Genomic DNA, 19097 nt, shown 5'->3' with positions numbered 1-19097 from the left:
TGTAGCACAATAACTAGAAGTCATGCTGGTGGTGCCTCTTTTACTATTCAGACTGTAAGCATTTTCCAACCCCAGGGTTTCTGCATCTGCTTGCAAAGTCTCCAGATATCTAAACACTTTATGTCATTCAGGCCTCTGCTCAAATCACTTTTTTTTTTTTTTTTTTGAGACAGGGTCTCACTCTGTTGCCCAACCTGGAGTACAGTGCTGCCATCTTGGCTCACTGCAACCTTGACCTCTCAGGTTCAAGTGTTCCTCCCACCTCAGCCTCCCAAATAGCTGGGACTACAGGCGCCCACCATCACACCCGACTAATTTTTGTATTTTTTATAGACATGGGGTTTCACCATGTTGCCCAGGCTGGCCTCAAACTCCCGAGCTCAAGCGATCCTCCTGCCTCAGCCTCCCAAAGTGCAGGGATTACAGGCATGAACCACCACACGAAGCCTCGAATCATCTTTTTTTTTTTTTGAGATGGAGTCTTGCTCTGTCGCCCAGGCTGGCATGCAGTGGCATGATCTTGGCTCACTGCAACCTCCGCCTCCCGGGTTCAAGCACTTCTGCCTCAGCCTCCCGAGTAGCTGGGACTACAGGCACGCACCACCACGCCTGGCTAATTTTTGTATTTTTAGTAGAGACGGAGTTTCAGCACGTTGGCCAGGATGGTCTCAGTCTCTTGACCTCATGATCCACCCGCCTCGGCCTCCCAAAGTGTTGGGATTACAGGTGTAAGCCACCACGCCCAGCCTCAAATCACTTCTTTAAAGATCTGTTCTATCAACTTGAAGAACAATCCTCATTCTATACCCTCTTGTGATTTTACAGCACTTATCACTACTTTACATCACATATTTGCTTGTTGCCTGTCTTCTCAAATATCAGAAATGTTGATGCTTGATTTTGTTCACAGCTCTACTTCCAATGCTAGCAGTTTCTGGCACATAGTGTGTGTTCAGTAAGTATCTGTAGAATGAATGAATCACTTCAAAAGCAACAGACTAAGTAATTATGTCATGGAGATCATTAATGCTACTCATATGAAATATATTAATGAAAAATCACATTTACTAATGTTATGTGAATAGAGACATGGCTAGGGATAAAATTTCCAGTCACAACATAATATACTGATTCAAATAAGGATCTATCTCAAACCTCTTAGAAGATAATATTTGCTCTGGAACTGTTAGATTGTTTAAAGGGTAGAAACCCATAAATACTGAAGATGCATATGAGAAGTCTGAGGAGGCTTCACTGGAGAAAAAAGTATTTCTAAATTAATGTTTACATTAATACTAATATATAATTAGTATATTTATATATTATAGTAATATATAATACTGATATGATAAATGAATAATTCATTCACTAATACAGTTTGCAATATATTCATAATTGGAAATGTATATATATGTAAATTAAGCATTGTACATAGACACTTCACTATATATCGTGTATCAATACAACTTAAACTTGATCGAAAACTTTTAAAAATGGAGTATGAGAGAATCTTATAAGGTATATATGATTATTCAATTCTCTAAGCCTCCGTTTCCACACCTATAAAATTAAAATCATATCATTACCTAATTCTTTCTTTTTAAAATTGAGATAAGGGTCTCACTATGTTGTTCAGGCTGGTCTCAAACTCCCGGGCTCAAGCACTGGCAATCCTCCCACCTCAGCCTCCTGAGTAGCTGAGATTATAGGAGTATACCATTGTGCCTGGCACCTGCTTCTTAATTAAAGATTGGGGGCCAGGCACGGTGGCTCACACCTGTAATCCCAGCACTTTGGGAGACCGAGGTGGGAGGATCACTTGAGGTCAGGAGTTTGAGTCCAGCCTGGCCAACATGGTAAAACTAAACATACAAAAATTAGCAGGGCATGGTGGCGTGCGCCTGTAATCCCAACTACTTGGGAGGCTGAGGCAGGAGAATCGCTTGAACCTGGGAGGTAGAGGCTGCAGTGAGCTGAGATCGCACCACTGCACTCAGTCTGGGCAACAGAGTGAGACTCCATCTCAAAGAAAAAAAAAATTATATAATATACTCTTATATAAAACACACAGCACAGTTCCTAGTTATTGTTAAGAAACACTTTTCAGGGCCGGGAGCAGTGGCTCACGCCTGTAATACCAGCACTTCTGGAGGCCAAGGAGGGCGGATCACGAGGTCAAGAGATCGAGACCATCCTGGCCAACATGGTGAAACCCCGTCTCTACTAAAAATACAAAAAATTAGCTGGGTGTGGTGGCACGTGCCTGTAGTCCCAGCTACCCAGGAGGCTGAGGCAGGAAAATGGCGTGAACTCGGGAGGCGGAGCTTGCAGTGAGCCGAGATCGTGCCACTGCACTCCAGCATGGGCAACAGAGCAAGACTCCATCTCAAAAAAAAAAAAGAATCACTTTTCTAGATCATAACACACCTTACAGTTCTTTATTGATCCAACTGCAATTGGTCCATTATATACATATATATAACAGCTTTTGCTGAAACTCCTTATTAGGCCTTTTAAATATAATTAGCATTTTAAAATCTATAAACATATATATTTGGGTATAAGCATCTATGTGTAAGTGTGTTAGTCATCTATTAAATAGAAGTAAAATTTGATTATAAACATAGCATGTATAAAACCATGACCAGGCTGGGCATGGTGGCTCATGCCTGTAATCCCAGGACTTTGGGAGGTCAAGATGGGCAGATCACCTGAGGTCAGGAGTCTGAGACCAGCCTGTCCAACATGGTGAAACTCCATTACTACTAAACATACAAAAATTAGCCAGGCGTGGTGGTGCACGCCTGTAATCCCAGCTACTCGGGAGGCTGAGGCAGGAGAATCGCTTGAAACGGGGAGGTGGAGGTTGCAGTGAGCTGAGATCACGCCACTGCACTCCAGCCTGGCTGAGAGAGCGAGACTCCGTCTCAAAAAAAAAAAAAAAAAAACAAACAACAAAAAAAACCATGGCATTATAAAATGACCATAAGCAAAATCAAAAGAGAAGTATATATTGGGGAAAAAATGCTCCAACTCATGATGGAAGGTTAATTTCACTCAAATATAAAGACCACGTTTTAAAAAATCAATAACAAGAATAAGAATAACACTGAAATTTAAAATGGACAAATATGAATAAATTACAGAAAAAGGAAACACAAATGGTTTTTAAAATATAATGAAGAGATTCTTTTTTTTTTTACAATTAACTAAACTTTTTTTAAAATTAACTAAAGTTGGTATTTCACTAGGACGATTTAGCAGATGAAATGGGTTTTAAGTTTAGAACACCATTTCTTCTTCCTTATTACATTTCCCTTTTTAATGTTAGCCCTCTACAAACACACACGTATATACACACACACACACACACACACTCTGCATCAAAAAAGCCTTCCTACATTAATACTTGAGCATGATAACCTTACAATGAAAGGTAAATCATTAGTTGAATCATGAAACATTTTCTTCCCCTTGTGGAGAAAAATCAAATTGCTTTTCCTCTGCTCTTACACCACAATCATCAACACAGTAGACTTCTGTGACCAAATGTGTGGGGATTTCTCCCCACCAACAAGAAGCAATCAGTTCTGCAGAAGATACCACCAGCTGAGCACCTTCTAATCCAATTCAATTCTCATGCTATCTACCTGGAGATAGCATTAGATCCCACAGGCTGAGAGAGGGCTCAGTCTCACAAGACTGCCCCCACTTCAGACACTAGTTGTAAGGCCAGGCCTCATCCAGAACTTCTGGCCAACCAGCTTCAAGTCAGTGTTCCCATGACCCCCTTCTTAGGTTTGATTAATTTGCTAAAGCTGTGCCCAGAACTCAGGAAAACACGTGTACTGGTTTATTATAAAGAATAGCACAAAGAATGCAGATGAAGAGGTGCACAGAACAAGGCATGTGGGAAGGGGTGCAGAGCTCTCATACCCTCCCTGGGTGCACCACCCTCCAGGACCCTCCACGTGTTCAGCTATCTGGAAGCTCTCTGTACCCGGTCCAGGACTTCACTGGACCGTCACGACTGAAGCATGGACAACCGGGTAGAAATATGATTGGACAAAGTAGGACCTAATGCTAACAGACTGAGTGGGGAAACCTAGCAAGGCCTCTCTGTTCAGAGTCTTCTTGGCCTCTCTGTGCAACTTCTTTCCTCCCAAGTACAGGGCAGGATGCCTTCTGAAATGGGGGTCTTATGACCTCCAATCAGACAAGGTAGGTCAGATAATTTCTTTGCTGTCAGCTCCAAGACAGAATGTTGGGGGATGATCAGAGTATATTTTTAGTTTCTATTGCCTGCTTGGGGAGAAAAAGGAGCAGGTAAAAGCAAGGCAAGAAAAGGTCAGAGAGCGATTCTGTTTTCTGAAGCCTGCTTCTGAGGTTTAAAGTGCCCCAACGTTATTACAAAAGACCATCTTTCACTTTTATTGATCTGAAGCTGTACTGAAGCCACTTCAAAAACCAAGAATAAAAGGCCAAATATTTCAATAAAATATATGTATATTGTTTTAGTCACTTAGGAAATAACAGGGACTATGGGTGTTCTATGACAGAAACTGTGGATGAAAACCAACATATGTATCATAATATCATAGCACCCTCCCCAACCTTTTTTTTTTTTTTTTTTTTTTTTGTTTGAGACAGGGTCTCACTGCATTGCGTAGGCTTGTCTTGAACTCCTGGGCTCAAGCAATCCTTGTGCCTTGGCCTCCCAAAATGCTGGGATTGCAGGCATGAGCCACTGTGCCAGGCCCCCTTTATGTCTATACATAATAAAACTTAATCACATAAAAGGAGGTATAGGGAAAATGAGAAGTACAAGATGGTATTTCAAGAGGCAACATTAAAAAAAGATTGAAATTTTTTAAAATAGCTGAAATCATTATTGCTTATACCATCTATACAAGCATCTAGTGGATTCTGCCTAGGCATTACATTGAGATACAGAAATAAAATCTTCTAAAATTTCAATATCAGAAGTGCCAAGTCAACTGTACTTCAAATTTTCCTTTACAAATTATCTATTTGAAACTCAGAATGTATTTTCCTCCAAGCCACTGCTATACTTAAACAAGTAATCTAAACCACATAATTCTATATAGCCCACATATACCAGTGTAGCTCAGTACTAGATCAAACACATTGTGAGGTTTTATTTTGTTTTTTTATTCAGATAGCAACTTCCCTATCATATTGTTTATGTGGTTTTAGAAAGCAGTTCAGGTGCAAAAAAATAAAGTTCACAGTTCAAAGAAGGCCTACAGTGACTACCTGCTACTTGGAACATACTTTGTTTCTCCACAAAGCTGAAAATAATGTTGCAATGGGAAAGAAAACACATCATTCTGGAGGATATCCAAGGGGGATTCAAGTGAAAAATGGAACCAAGAACTTACTTTGCAAAGCTTCAAGGTGACCTCCTTCTCACCGTAGGGCATAAAAGCCAATCAGATATATGCATAGTTACAGTTCAAGCAGTACCTATACTGACAGGTCCCATATTTTCAAATGGATTTCACATTTATATAACATAGTGATGGTTCTATCCTATTAGGCTATCTAAAAAGTCTAAAAAGAATGAGCATGTGCCAAATATAAATCTGGTTCAACAGAATCAAAAAATTCCTTCTAGGGTGCCCCTGCTCTTAATAAATGACTGTGAACTATTTCATTAAAATCACTCAGGATTCTGGACCAGGATTTCCATTGATTATGTGGTCTTACACGGTTACTTAATTTGTCTAGGTCTCAGTTTATCTTTTTTTTTTTTAAAGGATTTTATATTTGGGTAATAGAGGAGTATATAATTCAAACTAATTATCTCTCTCCTACTTGACACCCACAAAACTAAAAAAGCTGGAAGGAAGGGAAAACTTCTCCTTAAAAGAATCATAGAACAAGATAAGGTGATCAAGATGAAGAAGAGGATGAAATTCCATAAAGAGGAAGCTTTGCATTCTAGGCCACTTTTGCTCTGGGGTCATTTGCTGATCTAGCAGAGATGTAGCAGATTTGGAAGCTGAGGCTATAGGCCCCAGGGACAAAAGTGGAAATCCAGGGCCCATCAACACTGGGGGCTTTGTGGCTGGGTGGGCACTGTGTCTGTAATCCCAGCATTTTGGGAGGCGAGGTGGAAGGACTGCTTAAGCCCAGGAGTTTAAGTAACATAGTCTATCTAGGTAGCACAGTGAGACTCTATCTCTATTAGAAGAGACAAGACAAGACAAGACAAGACAAGAAGCTTGAGTAAATGACCCCCTCCTTTGGGCTTGAAACCAAAAAAGTGATATCCTACCAGGAAAGATGAACAAGAAGAAAAGCAGTCCACAAGTGGAATGTGATTAAACTTCTGAACATCTGAAGCCCAGACACTGGAAAAAGATGAACCTTAAGTATTAGTAACCAACGGGGAACAAAACAAAGCTCCCCTAGATACTAGCAAACTATTCATATACCTGCTTACTATGTTCAAAAATATAAAATCCCAATCCTGAAAAATTTGGCAAGTAACGCGAAGTTACTTTAAAAAAACAAACAAACAAACAAAACCCCCAAAAAAACCCAAAACCAAGCAAAACAAAGAAAACAAGCAAATCTGGAAAAATTAATTCTAGAACAAAAATATGTAATAAGAAAAAACAGGCCAGGCACGGTGTCTCATGCCTGTAATCCCAACACTTTGGGAGGCTGAGGTGAGAGAATCCCTTGAAGCCAGGAGTTCGAGACCAGCCTAGGCAACAAAGCAAGACCCCATCTCTACTAAAAAAAATTAGCCAGGCACCATGGTAGCGTATATCTGTAGTTCCAGCTACTCAGGAGGCTGAGGTGGGAAGATCACTTGAGTTCAGGAGTTTGAGGTTGCAGTAAGCTGCGATCCTGTCACTGCACTCTGGCCTGGGTGACAGAGCAAGACCCTGTCTTTTTTTTTTTTCCCTCTTTTTTGAGATGGAGTCTCGCTCTGTTGTCCAGGCTGGAATGCAATGGCGCAATCTCGGTTCACTGCAACCTCCGTCCGCCTCCCGGGTTCAAGCAATTCTCCTGCCTCAGCCTCTCAGGTAGGGGGGACTACAGGCATGCGCCACCACGCCCGGCTAATTTTTTGTATTTTTAGTAGAGACAGGGTTTCACCATGTTAGCCAGGATGGTCTCGATCTCCTGACCTTGTGATCCACCCACCTCGGCCTCCCAAAGTGCTGGGATTACAAGCGTCAGCCACCACACCCAACCGCAAGACCCTATCTTAACAAAAAAAGAGGCCGGGCATGGTGGCTCACGCCTAGAATACCAGCACTTCGGGAGGCCAAAGCAGGCAGATCACCTGAGGACAGGAGTTCAAGACCAGCCTGGCCAACATGGTGAAACCCCGTCTCTACAAAAACACAAAAATTAGCCAGGCGTGGTGGCAGGCGCATGTAATCCCAGCTACTTGGGAGGCTGAAACAGGAGAATTGCTTGAACCCAGGAGGCAAAGACTGCAGTGAACCGAGATCTAGCCACTGCACTCCAGCATGGGTGACAGAGCGAGACTCCGTCTCAAAAAAAAAAGTGGGGGGTGGGCCAGGTGTGGTGGCTCATGCCTGTAATCCCAGCACTTTGGAGGCTGAGGCATGTGGATCACTTGAGGTCAGGAGCTCAAGACCAGCCTGGCCAACATGGTGAAACCCCATCTCTACTAAAAATAGAAAAAATTAGCCAGGAATGGTGGCACAAGCCTGTAATCCCAGCTATTTGGGAGGCTGAGGCAGGAGAACTGCTTGAACCTGGGAGGCAGAGGTTGCAGTGAGCCGAGATCACACCACTACACCCCAGCCTGGGCAGCAGAGCGAGACTCCATCTCTAAATAAATAAATAAAAATTAATTAATTAATACAAATAAAAACCCACAAAAATGAGCCAGGTGTGGTGGCGTACACCTGAAGTCCCAGCTACTCGGGAGGCTGAGGCACAAGAATTGCTTTAAGCCGGGAGGTGGAGGTAGCAGTAAGTTGAGATAGAGCCACTGTACCCCAGCCTGGGTGACAGAGACTCTGTACAAAAAAAAAATAACACGGAATCAAATCATAATTGCCTGGGGAAGGAGCAAGGAAAAGGGGAGAAAAGGATTATAAAGGGGCATGAGGAAATGTTCTAGGGTGATGAATATGCTCATTACCTGGTTACATTCATGAGAAAACTTATCAAATTACATATTTTAAGATGTACCCTTTATAGTATGTCAACATTACAGGTACTCTCACAAAGCTATCAACAAAAATAGGAAAGAAGCAGCAGCAAGCAACAACAGCCATAACTACTGCCTGGAGAATTTCCCCCAAAACAAACAAACCAAAAAAAGTGTGGGCTGCAGCTAAAAGCAGTACATTTTTAGGATTAAAATTTATATTTAAATGAATATAATAGAAAGAAGGACTGAAAAGTAATAAGCCAAACATCCATCTCAAGACTTCTGTTTGTTTTTTGTTTTTTTTTAAGGGCAGTCAAGTGAAGCAGTGGGAGTGAAGGAGGAATAAAGAAATCTGTAACTGGCTATGATTGATGAGTTATAAACACCACTGCACTGGGACCAGCCTAAAGAAGTTTTTTTAAATCTGCAAAGTAGACCGGGCACGGTAGCGGTGGCTCACACCTGTAATCCCAGCACTTTGGGAGGCCAAGGCGAACCGATCACTTGAGGTCAGGAGTTTGAGACCAGCCTGACCAACATGGTAAAACTCCGCCTCTACTAAAAATACAAAAATTAGCTGGGTGTGGTGGCACATGCCTTTAATCCTAGCTATCAGGAGGCTGAGGCATAAGAATCACTTGAAACCAGAAGGCAGGGATTGCAGTGAGCCAAGATCACGCCACTGCACTCCAGCCTGCGTGACAGAGTAAGACTCCGTCTCAAAAATAAAAAAAAAAAAACCTTGCAAAGTAAACCCAAAGGAAGCAGAAGTTAATAAGGAAATAATAGTTAACTGAGGTCTACAAAGCAATGGTTAGTTCTTTGAGAAAAAAAGCAAGAAAACTGAAAAAGATCTGGGATCAAGAAAAAAGTAAAACAGGCTGGGTGCGGTGGCTCATGCCTGTAATCCCAGCACTTTGGGAGACCACGGCAGGTGGATCACAAGGTCAGGAGTTCGAGACCAGCCTGGCCAACATGGGAAACCCCATCTCTACTAAAAATACAAAAATTAGCCGGGCGTGGTGGCCTGCGTCTGTAGTCCCAGCTACTTGGGAGGCAGAGGCAAGAGAACTGCTTGAACCCGGGAGGCAGAGGTTGTAGTGAGCCGAGGTCACGCCAGCACAAGACTCCATTTCAAAAAAAAAAAAAAAGTAAAACAGAAGGCACAAATAAATAAAATGAGCCCTGACTACTACCTAACTTCCCTTCTAATTCTATTAACTTGAAACTATAGCAGAGCTTCCCTAACTGTGGCAGATCCAAACATGTATTACAGGTTTATCAAGATAATAATTCCCTTGGCCCTTGGACCAGCCTGGTAGGCCTAGAGCAATGAAAGATCTCTGATACCCTCCAGTTGTGAGCCTCCTCTTCCTTATGTACCAGGAAAACATCAGTTTCTACTAATGCCTTGAAAAAAAGTAAGGAAGCATTGATTTGGAGAACAACTAACTCTTCCAGCTTCACACTTAAGAACAGCATACACGGCCGGGCGCGGCGGCTTGTGCCTGTAATCCCAGCACTGCGGGAGGCTGAGGCAGGCGGATCACCTGTGGTCGGAGGTTCGAGACCAGCCTGACCAACATGGATAAACTCCATCTCTACTAAAAATACAAAATTAGCCGGCTGTGGTGGTGCATGCCTGTAATCCCAGCTACTCAGGAGGCTGAGGCAGGAGAATCACTTGAACCCGGGAGGCTGAGGTTACGGCGAGCCGAAATCATGCCATTGCACTCCAGCCTGGGCAATAAGAGCGAAACTCCATCTCAAAAAAAAAAAAAAAAAGAACAGCATACACTACAATGTTACTAACATTATGCAATCAGTGTTTTCTCTACATTTAATGCAAAAACTACATAATTTACAGCAGTTTTTTATGCTCTCCATTTTCTTAATATTTAAAATACTGTAAAGAATCTTTACAATTAGTAAGTATCTTGATGGTAGTCCTCAAAGGGAAGTAAAATACAAGTTAAAGCTGGTAACAAAATAATCTCAAATACGAAATAATTTTGTTACCCATAAAGTTACTAGGATAGAGCACATGAAGAAATGCAGACCTGACAAGTCCCCCTTATCTGCAGTTTCACTTTCCACAGTTTCAATTGCCTAGAGTCAACTACAGTCTGAAAATATTAAATGGAAAATTCCAGAAACAAACAATTCATAAGTTTTAAACTGTACTGTTCTGAATAGTGTGATGAAATCTTGTGCCCTCCCATTCCATTCTGCCCAGAACATGAATCATCCCTTTCTCCGACCTATCCATGCTGTATATATATGCCACCCAGCCCATTAGTCACATAGTAGCCATCTCAGTTATCAGATTGACTGTCAATGTATCACAAGGCTTGTGTTTAAGTAACCTTTATTGTACTTAATAATGGCCTCAAAGCACAAGAGTAGTGATGCTAGCAGTTTGGAAATGTCAAAGAAGAAGAGTGAGTATAATACAATAAGATACTATAAGAGAGGCTGGGCACAGTGGCTCATGCCTGTAATCCTGGCACTTTGGGAGGCTGAGGCAGGAGGATCGCTTGAAGCCAGGAGTTCAAGACCAACTTCAGCAATAAAGCCAGACCTGACTCACAAAAAATTTTTACAAATTTGCTGGGTGTGTTGGTGCATACCTATAGTCCTAGCTAACTGGGAGGCTGAAGCAGGAGGATCACTTGAGCCCAGCAGTTTGAGGCTGCAGTGAGATATGATGGCACCACTGCACTCCAACCTGGGCAACAGAGACTCTGCCTCTAAAAATAAATAAATGAAATAATTTTTTTTAAAAAGAAGATATTGGCTGGGCGCGGTGGCTCATGCCTGTAATCCCAACACTTTACGAGGCTGAGGGGGGAAGATCACCTGAGGTCAGGAGTTTGAGACCAGGCTGACCAACATGGAGAAACCCTGTCCCTACTAAAAATACAAAATTAGCCAGGCGTGGTGGCGCATGCCTGTAATCCCAGCTACTTGGGAGGCTGAGGCAGGAGACTTGCTTAAACCCGGGAGGCAGTGGTTGCAGTGAGCCGAGATCACACCATCGCACTCCAGCCTGGGCAACAAGAGTGAAACTGCATCTCAAAAAAAAAAAAAGATATTGTGGCTCACACCTGTAATCCCAGCACTTTGGGAGGCCGAGGCGGGCAGATCACGAGGTCAGAAGATGGAGACCATTCTGGCTAACACGGTGAAACCCCGTCTCTACTAAAAACACAAAAAATTAGCCGGGTGTGGTGGCATGCGCCTGTAGTCCCAGCTACTCAGGAGGCTGAGGCAGGAGAATCGCTTGAACCTGGGAGGCAGAGATTGCAGTGAGCTGAGATCGCACCATTGCACTCCAGCCTGGGCGACAGAGCAAAGTCTCAAAAAAAAGAAAAGAGAGAGAGATGCACACAACATTCATGTAACTTTTATTACAGTATATTGTTATAATGGTTCTATTTTTTATTAGCTTTTGTTAATTTCTTACTATTTCTAATGTAAAAATTAAACTTTATCATAGTACATATGTATAGGGAAAAACATAGCATATATAAGTTTTGCTACTATCTGTGGTTTCAGGCGTACCATTGGGGGTCTTAGAACACATCTGCCATAGATAAGGAGGAACTACTGTATGACAGACTTACTCCATTTATCTAGATTTTCTTCGTTTCATTCAATGTATATTTATTAAATCCCTACTATATGTCAGATACCAGGGAAAACCACAAATGAAAAAGAATGAATCATAATTACTGGATCTTTTTTTTTTTTTTTTTGAGTAGAAGTCTCTTGTCCCCCAGGCTGGAGTGCAATGGCGTGATCTTGGCTCACTGCAACCTCTGCCTCCCAGGTTCAAGCAATTCTCCCACCTCAGCCTCCCGAGTAGCTAGGATTACAGGCGCCTACCACCACACCCAGCTAATTTTTGTACTTTTTTTTTTAGTAGAGACGAGGTTTCACCATGTTGGCCAGGCTGGTCTTGAACTCCTGACCCTAGGTGAGCCGCCCGCCTCGGCCTCCCAAAGTGCTGGGATTACAGCCATGAGCTACCATGCCCGGCCCCTCAAGGATCTTAAGATTCCATTGAAAAGTAGTACAGACATGACACAAACAAATAATTGCAATATGGTGTGGTTACATTAATGACAAGCAATAGAGTGGCAAGTACATGGACCCTAGATCCAAACCGCCTGGGTTTGAATCCTGGCTCTAACATTTATCAGTTTTATTACCTAAAGTAGATACCCTCTCTGTGCCTACGGTTGTTCTCTATATGAACAGGTAATGCACTTAGTGCCTGGTATAGAGTAAACACTAAACTCATCATTATTTTTATAATTATCACTATTAAACATTATATTACGAAAAATGTTTCACTTGGTTAGGCACCTAACCTGAACTGGAGGTTAAAAAGAAGATAAAACGTTCCCTCTATAGTCAGCAATAAGCCAACTAAATTCCTAAAACAGCAGTCACTAAAGCAATCCATATCACCTTAAGGCTATTTAAATAACGTTTTAAAACTTACCAAGTATAACTAAGACAAAATTTAAAACTATTCTACGCTCATATACTTTGTATATAGCCATATGGAAACCTACACAGGTTCTTTATCAGACAGCCCCTCAATATTATTCAAAACCAACAAATGTAAAAATGAAAGAATGCAAATACACTGCAAACTTCATGTTCTTTATCTCTGATTTGCACTAAAAAGGAATAAAGGGGCTGGCTAACTATCACTTGCTCCTTCTAATGCTGACATTTATTTGGCTCCAGTTTGAACTAATGATACTTAAGGGTTGTTTATTTGAGAATGGATCTATCCTGCATAGAAACCAGAATATACTTCACAGATAAGCATAGAAATCCAAACAAGGGCCAGGCACAGTGGCTCATATCTGTAATCCCAGCACTTTGGGAAGCTGAGGTAGGAGGACTGCTTGAGTCTTGGAGTCTGAGACCAGCCTGGGGAACATTGCAAAACCCCATCTCTACAAAAATTAAAAAATTAGCCAGGTGTGGTGGCACATGCCTGCCATCCCAGCTCTCCGGGAGGCTGTGGTGGGAGAGTAACTTGAGCCCAGGAGGCTGCAGTAAGCCATGACTGTGCCACTGCATTCCAGCCTGGATGACAGAGAAAGACCTGTCTCAAAAAAAAAAAAAAAAAAAAAGAAATCCCAACAAACAAGATCAGAAATTAGAAACTTAAGACTTTTGTCTTAATGTTAACACTATATAAACTCTTCCTCTTTGAAAAATATGCCCTCTGTTTGTCACTATTGTCTTGGCAATTCGTTATACTTTCTCACAAGCAAAGAAACCTATTTCAGACTTGCGTTCACACTTATCAAACTATCACTTAAACAGAGTATTTAAGGTCTGGTGCAGTGGTTCACACCTGTAATCCCAGCACTTTGGGAGGCCAAGGTGGGCGTCAACAGTTTGAGAGCAGCCTGGCCAAAATGGGGAAACCCCATCTCTACAAAAATTTAAAAATTAGCCAGGTTTGGTGGCACACACCTGTAATCCCAGCGACTTGGGAGGCTGAGGCACAAGAATCGCTTCAACCCAGGAGACGGAGGCTGTAGTGAGCCGAGATAGTGCCACTGCACTCCAGCCTGGGCAATAAGAGTGAGACTCTATCTCAAATAATAATAATAATATTTAATAAAAACTCTTTGAATGACACAAATTACCACTTAGGCAAAAAGAACCTTGGTATTTACAGGGGTAAAAAGTTCAAATAAATAATAAACTTCATTTATTATTATATATAAGCCAAGGGAATTTATTATATGCAAGGGAATCACTGTTCAGACAATGAGCTGAGGGGCCAGAATTTGTGAGACAGAAGGGGTCCTTTTCACACAATATTTACTTGAAGTTTCACAATAATCAAAGGTATCTGCTTTTAGCCCAGTTATTCATGTATACACATCAACAAGATTTAAATTAACCAAAATGTTAAATGTTTATTAAGCAGCCACCATATAATGTAGGTTTTGGAACTAGTATTTAAATGGAAGAGTATATCTTCAGAGTAAAGTTCCATTGAGAAATAGAAAAGTCTGTAAAACCAGGTCTCGTCTTATAACAAGAAACTGATACTGACTTCTGTAACAAAGCTAAATAGTCTCTTGATGTGTAGTTGGCACAATTCCAGAAATCTAAACTACTAGCAAATTTGCTTATATCTGGTATAACTGGGCCGGGCGTGGTGGCTCATGCCTGTAATCCCAGCACTTTGGGAGGCCGAGGTAGGTGGATCACCTGAGGTCTCGAGTTCGAGACCAGGCTGGCCAACATGGTGAAACCCTGTCTCTACTAAAAATACAAAAATTAGCTGGGCGTGGTGGTGCACACCTGTGATCCCAGCTACTCGGGAGGCTGAGGCAGGAGAATTGCTTGAACCTGGGAGGCAGAGGTTGCAGTGAGCAAGATCATGCCATTGCACTCCAGCCTGGGCAACAAGAGTGAAACTCTGTCTCAAAAAAAAAAAACAAAAAAACATATATATATATATATCTGGTATAACTGTTACTATATCTAAAGAAAGGGATGAGAAACAAACCTTTAATTTCTACTTGAAATGATTTTTCATTTTTGCAAAGAGAAAAGGGTACATAACTAATATCCAAACAGAGTTAATAAAAGCCTATTAAGGATTATTTTAAAACAAGTTCTTTAAAAAAAAAAAAAAAAAGTTCTACTAGTTGCAGTGAGCCGATACTGCGCCACTGTACTCCAGCCTGGGCAATACAGCAAGACTCCATCTCAAAAAAAAAAAAAAAAAAAAAAACAGACACATGCCCATAGGTCTTTTAGGATGACTGCACATATCACAAAAAAATGGCCTTTTTCTTCAAATAAAAACTTACACAAAGAAGCAACAATTGGCCAGGCACGGTGGCTCACACCTTTAATCCCAGCACTTTGGGAGGCCGAGGCGGGCGGAGCACAAGGTCAGGAGATCGAGACCATCCTGGCTAATACGGTAAAATCCCGTCTCTACTAAAAATACAAAAATTAGCTGGGCGTGGCGGCGTGCGCCTGTAGCCCCAGCTGCTGGGGAGGCTGAGGCAGGAGAATGGCGTGAACCCGGGAGGCAGAGCTTGCAGTGAGCCGAGACTGCGCCACTGCACTCCAGCCTGGGCGACAGAGTGAAGACTCCATCTCAAAAAGAAAAAAAAAAAAAAATTAAAAGAAGCAACAATTTCATGCCTTAAAAGTAATTTTCTGATTTTACTTTTATCTTCTTTTTTTATTACATATATATATACACACACACACACACACACACACACACACATACATACATGTGGAAGCCCAAATCTATCCCTGTTCCCAATCCAAACTATTTTTTTTTTTTTTTTGAGACAGAGTCTTGCTCTGTCGCCCAGGCTGGCGTGCAGTGGCACAATCTCCGCTCACTGCAACTTCCACCTCCCGGGTTCAGGCGATTCTCCTGCCTTCAGCATCCCAAGTAGCTGGAATTACAGGTGCCTGCCACCACGCCCAGCTAATTTTTGTGTTTTTAGTAGAGACGGTGTTTCACCATGTTGGCCAGGCTGTTCTCAAACTCCTGACCACAGGTGATCCGCCCACCTAGCCCTCCCAAAATGCTAGGATTATAGGTGTGAGCCACCACACCTGGCTGCCCCCAATTCAAACTTTAACAACTCATACAACTTCCCATTCTCTTAAACTCTAAAATTACATGGGCTTACACATGACTTCAGGTTTTTTCCTGTTGCTGTGGTAGAAAAGTGTTGAGAAATGTACCTTAGCTAGTTCTGAAGGAAAATATTTTTTTTTTGAGACAGAGTCTCTGTCACCCAGGCTGGCGTGCAGTGGCACGATCCTGGCTCACTGCAACCTCTGCCTCCTGGGTTCAAGCAATTCTCTGCCTCAGCCTCCTGAGTAGCTGGGATTACAGGCACCCGCCACCACACCCAGCTAATTTTTTTATTTTTAGTAGAGATGGGGTTTCACCATCTTCGCCAGGCTGGTCTTGAACTTCTGACGTCATGATCCACCCACCACAGCCTCCCAAAGTACTGGGATTACAGGCGTGAGCCACTGCACCCAGCACTGAATATATATTATGTATCTAAAATAATTTAATGTTTTATCAGAATCTCTCTTCAAATCTTCTTTTCCATTAAGTTTTCATTTCTCTCCTGACTCTCTTAGTAAGAACACTAACTGGGCTTCCGTGAGATACAGATCATTATGAGCTTAGCAACATTCGGTTACACATATTCAAAACTTTTCAGTCAGGTCGGGCGCGGTGGCTCACGCCTGTAATCCCAACACTTTGGGAGGCTGAGGAGGGTGGATCACGAGGCCAGGAGTTCAAGACCAGCCTAACAAACATGGTGAAACCCCATCTCTACTAAAAATACAAAAATTAGCCGGGTGTGGTGGCACACGCCTGTAATCCCAGCTACTCAGGAGGCTGAGGCAGAAGAATTGCTTGAACCCCAGAGGTGGAGGTTGCAGCAAGCTGAGATCGTTGGGCGACAGAGCTAGACTCCATCTCAAAAAAAAAAAAAAAGAACTTTTCAGTCACCTGAATTCTATCCCGACATTTTTAGTACAGGAAGATAAAAAACAAACTTGAGCTGAAACCATGCCAGCTGGAAGGTACACATTTATATTACTAGATCTACCTATCTACATACCACTTTAAAACCACACATCGAATTTAAACATTCTCTACCTGCAACAAAGAAAGCCTTGTTGCTTTGATATACCTGGCTAAAGTACTTCTATTTTTCTCCACAGTTAAAGAAATTAAATAATCACTCTTTCATTTACCAGACAATTTTTTAAAAGTGGCACTCATTCAAGTCCATTTGAAGAATCTGTTCTTCCAGCAGTTTGATCTAATTTACAATCAATTGAACTTAAGTACTTCTTCGGAACAGTATGTTCAACTGCTACTACTTTGACTTCCTATAGACAAAATAGTTTAAGAAAAAATCATAAATGTTATGAGGCCTTAAAATGAAACTTCTTTTCAGTATAATGTAAAGGAGAGAGGAAATCAAAATATAAAATGTAAGTTAAAAGATCAAATGTGTAAATTATTTTATTTTATTTATTTATTTTTTTTTTTTTTTGAGACGGAGTCTCGCTCTGTCGCCCAGGCTGGAGTGCGGTGGCGCGATCTCGGCTCACTGCAAGCTCCGCCTCCCGGGTTCACGCCATTCTCCTGCCTCAACCTCCCGAGTAGCTGGGACCACAGGCGCCCGCCACCACGCCAGGCTAATTTTTTGTATTTTTAGTAGAGACAGGGTTTCGCCGAGTTAGCCAGGATGGTCTCTATCTCCTGACCTTGTGATCCGCCCACCTGGGCCTCCCAAAGTGCTGGGATTACAGGCGTGAGCCACTGCGCCCGGCCTTAAATTATTTTTTATTAAAGAAGTCTCAGAGTAACCAATAACCATTTTGACAAGGAATGTCTAGGTGAAATCAAAAGTAAAAAGGCAACCAGGTGTGGTGGCTCTTGCCTGTAATCCCAGCAACCTGCGAGGCCGAAGAGGTCGGATCCCTTGAGCCCAGGAGTTCAAGACCAGCCTGGGCAATATAGGAAGACCCCCCCCATATCTATAAAAAAATACAAATACGAATATTAGCCAGGCATGGTGGTACACGCCTGTAATATCAGCTACTTGGGAGGGTGAGGTGGGAGGATGGCTTGAGACCAGGAGACAGAGGTTGTGGTAGTTGAGATCATGCCACTGCCCCCCAGCCTGGGTGACAGAGCGAGACTCTCTCAAAAAAAAAAAAGTAAAAAGCAATCCAGCTCCAATACTGATGTACTTGTAAGAGTTTATGCCAAACTTGGTATCTATTTAAAAATCAGCTCATACGGGAATAAGATTTCCAGTCAAAACGGACTACTTTCATACTAAAATTATAAGGTCTAAAACAGTTCTCGGCCGGGCGCGGTGGCTCACGCCTGTAATCCCAGCACTTTGGGAGGCCGAAGCGGGTGGATCACGAGGTCAGGAGATCAAGACCATCCTGGCTAACACGGTGAAACCCCGTCTCTACTAAAAATACAAAAAAATTAGCCAGGCGTGGTGGCGGGAGCCTGTAGTCCCAGCTACTCCGGAGGGTGACGCAGGAGAATGGCGTGAACCCGGGAGGCGGAGCTTGCAGTGAGCCGAGATCGCGCCACTGCACTCCAGGCTGGGGGACAGAGCGAGACCCCGTCTCAAAAAAAAATAAAAAATAAAATAAAATAAAATAAAATAAAACAGTTCTCATTTTATAGACACTAATCGAGTTCCACATTCTATACCATGTTTCTTTTTAGCATGTTCTTCCCCTGTAACTAACTCCATTATTTAGCTTCTAATCTTCATATTGTCTCATAAAGCAAATGTTTTTCTCTGAATTAGGAGTATGACTTATCTCAATTTTAAACTATAGTACAAAAAGAAAAAAAAACTTTAAGAAAAACATAAAAACGAAGCCTCTTTGAGGAGCCTTTCATGTTCAAAGTACTTAATTTTTCAAATAACTCATCAGCTTTATTATGCGTATTATATTCATTTTATACTTATGAAAATATGATTTCCCTAGTACCACAAAATAAGTTAATCTTGGAAGTGGAATTTTAATTGTGACATTTGCCCGGGTGTGGTGGCTCACATCTGTAATCCCAGCACTTTGGGAGGCATGCAGATCACCTGAGATCAGGAGTTCAAGACCAGCCTGGCCAACATAGCAAAACCCTGTCTCTACTAAAAATACAAAAATTAGCTAGGTATGATGGTGGACACCTGTAATCTCAGCCACTCAGGAGGCTGAGGCAGGGAGAACTGCTTGAACTCACGAGGCAGAGATAGCAGTGAGCTTAGATGATGCCACTGCACTCCAGCCTGGGCATCAGAGCAAGACTCTGTCTCAAAAAAAATAAAAATAAAAA

The 19097-nt window shown here is 42.1% G+C and overlaps 1 pseudogene across 1 annotated transcript in view; it reads right to left on the bottom strand.

Moving 5' to 3' along the window:
* LOC101929950 (puromycin-sensitive aminopeptidase-like protein) overlaps window positions 1-19097 on the bottom strand; it is a 40103-nt pseudogene that overhangs the window by 20391 nt on the left and 615 nt on the right. The gene's annotated exons all lie outside the window — the stretch shown is intronic.

The sequence above is a fragment of the Homo sapiens genome, chromosome 17, assembly GCF_000001405.40.
Source record: "Homo sapiens chromosome 17, GRCh38.p14 Primary Assembly".
Classification (NCBI taxonomy): domain Eukaryota; kingdom Metazoa; phylum Chordata; class Mammalia; order Primates; family Hominidae; genus Homo; species Homo sapiens.
Note: the sequence above shows the minus strand (reverse complement) of the source record. Positions and strands in the feature narration are given on the sequence as shown.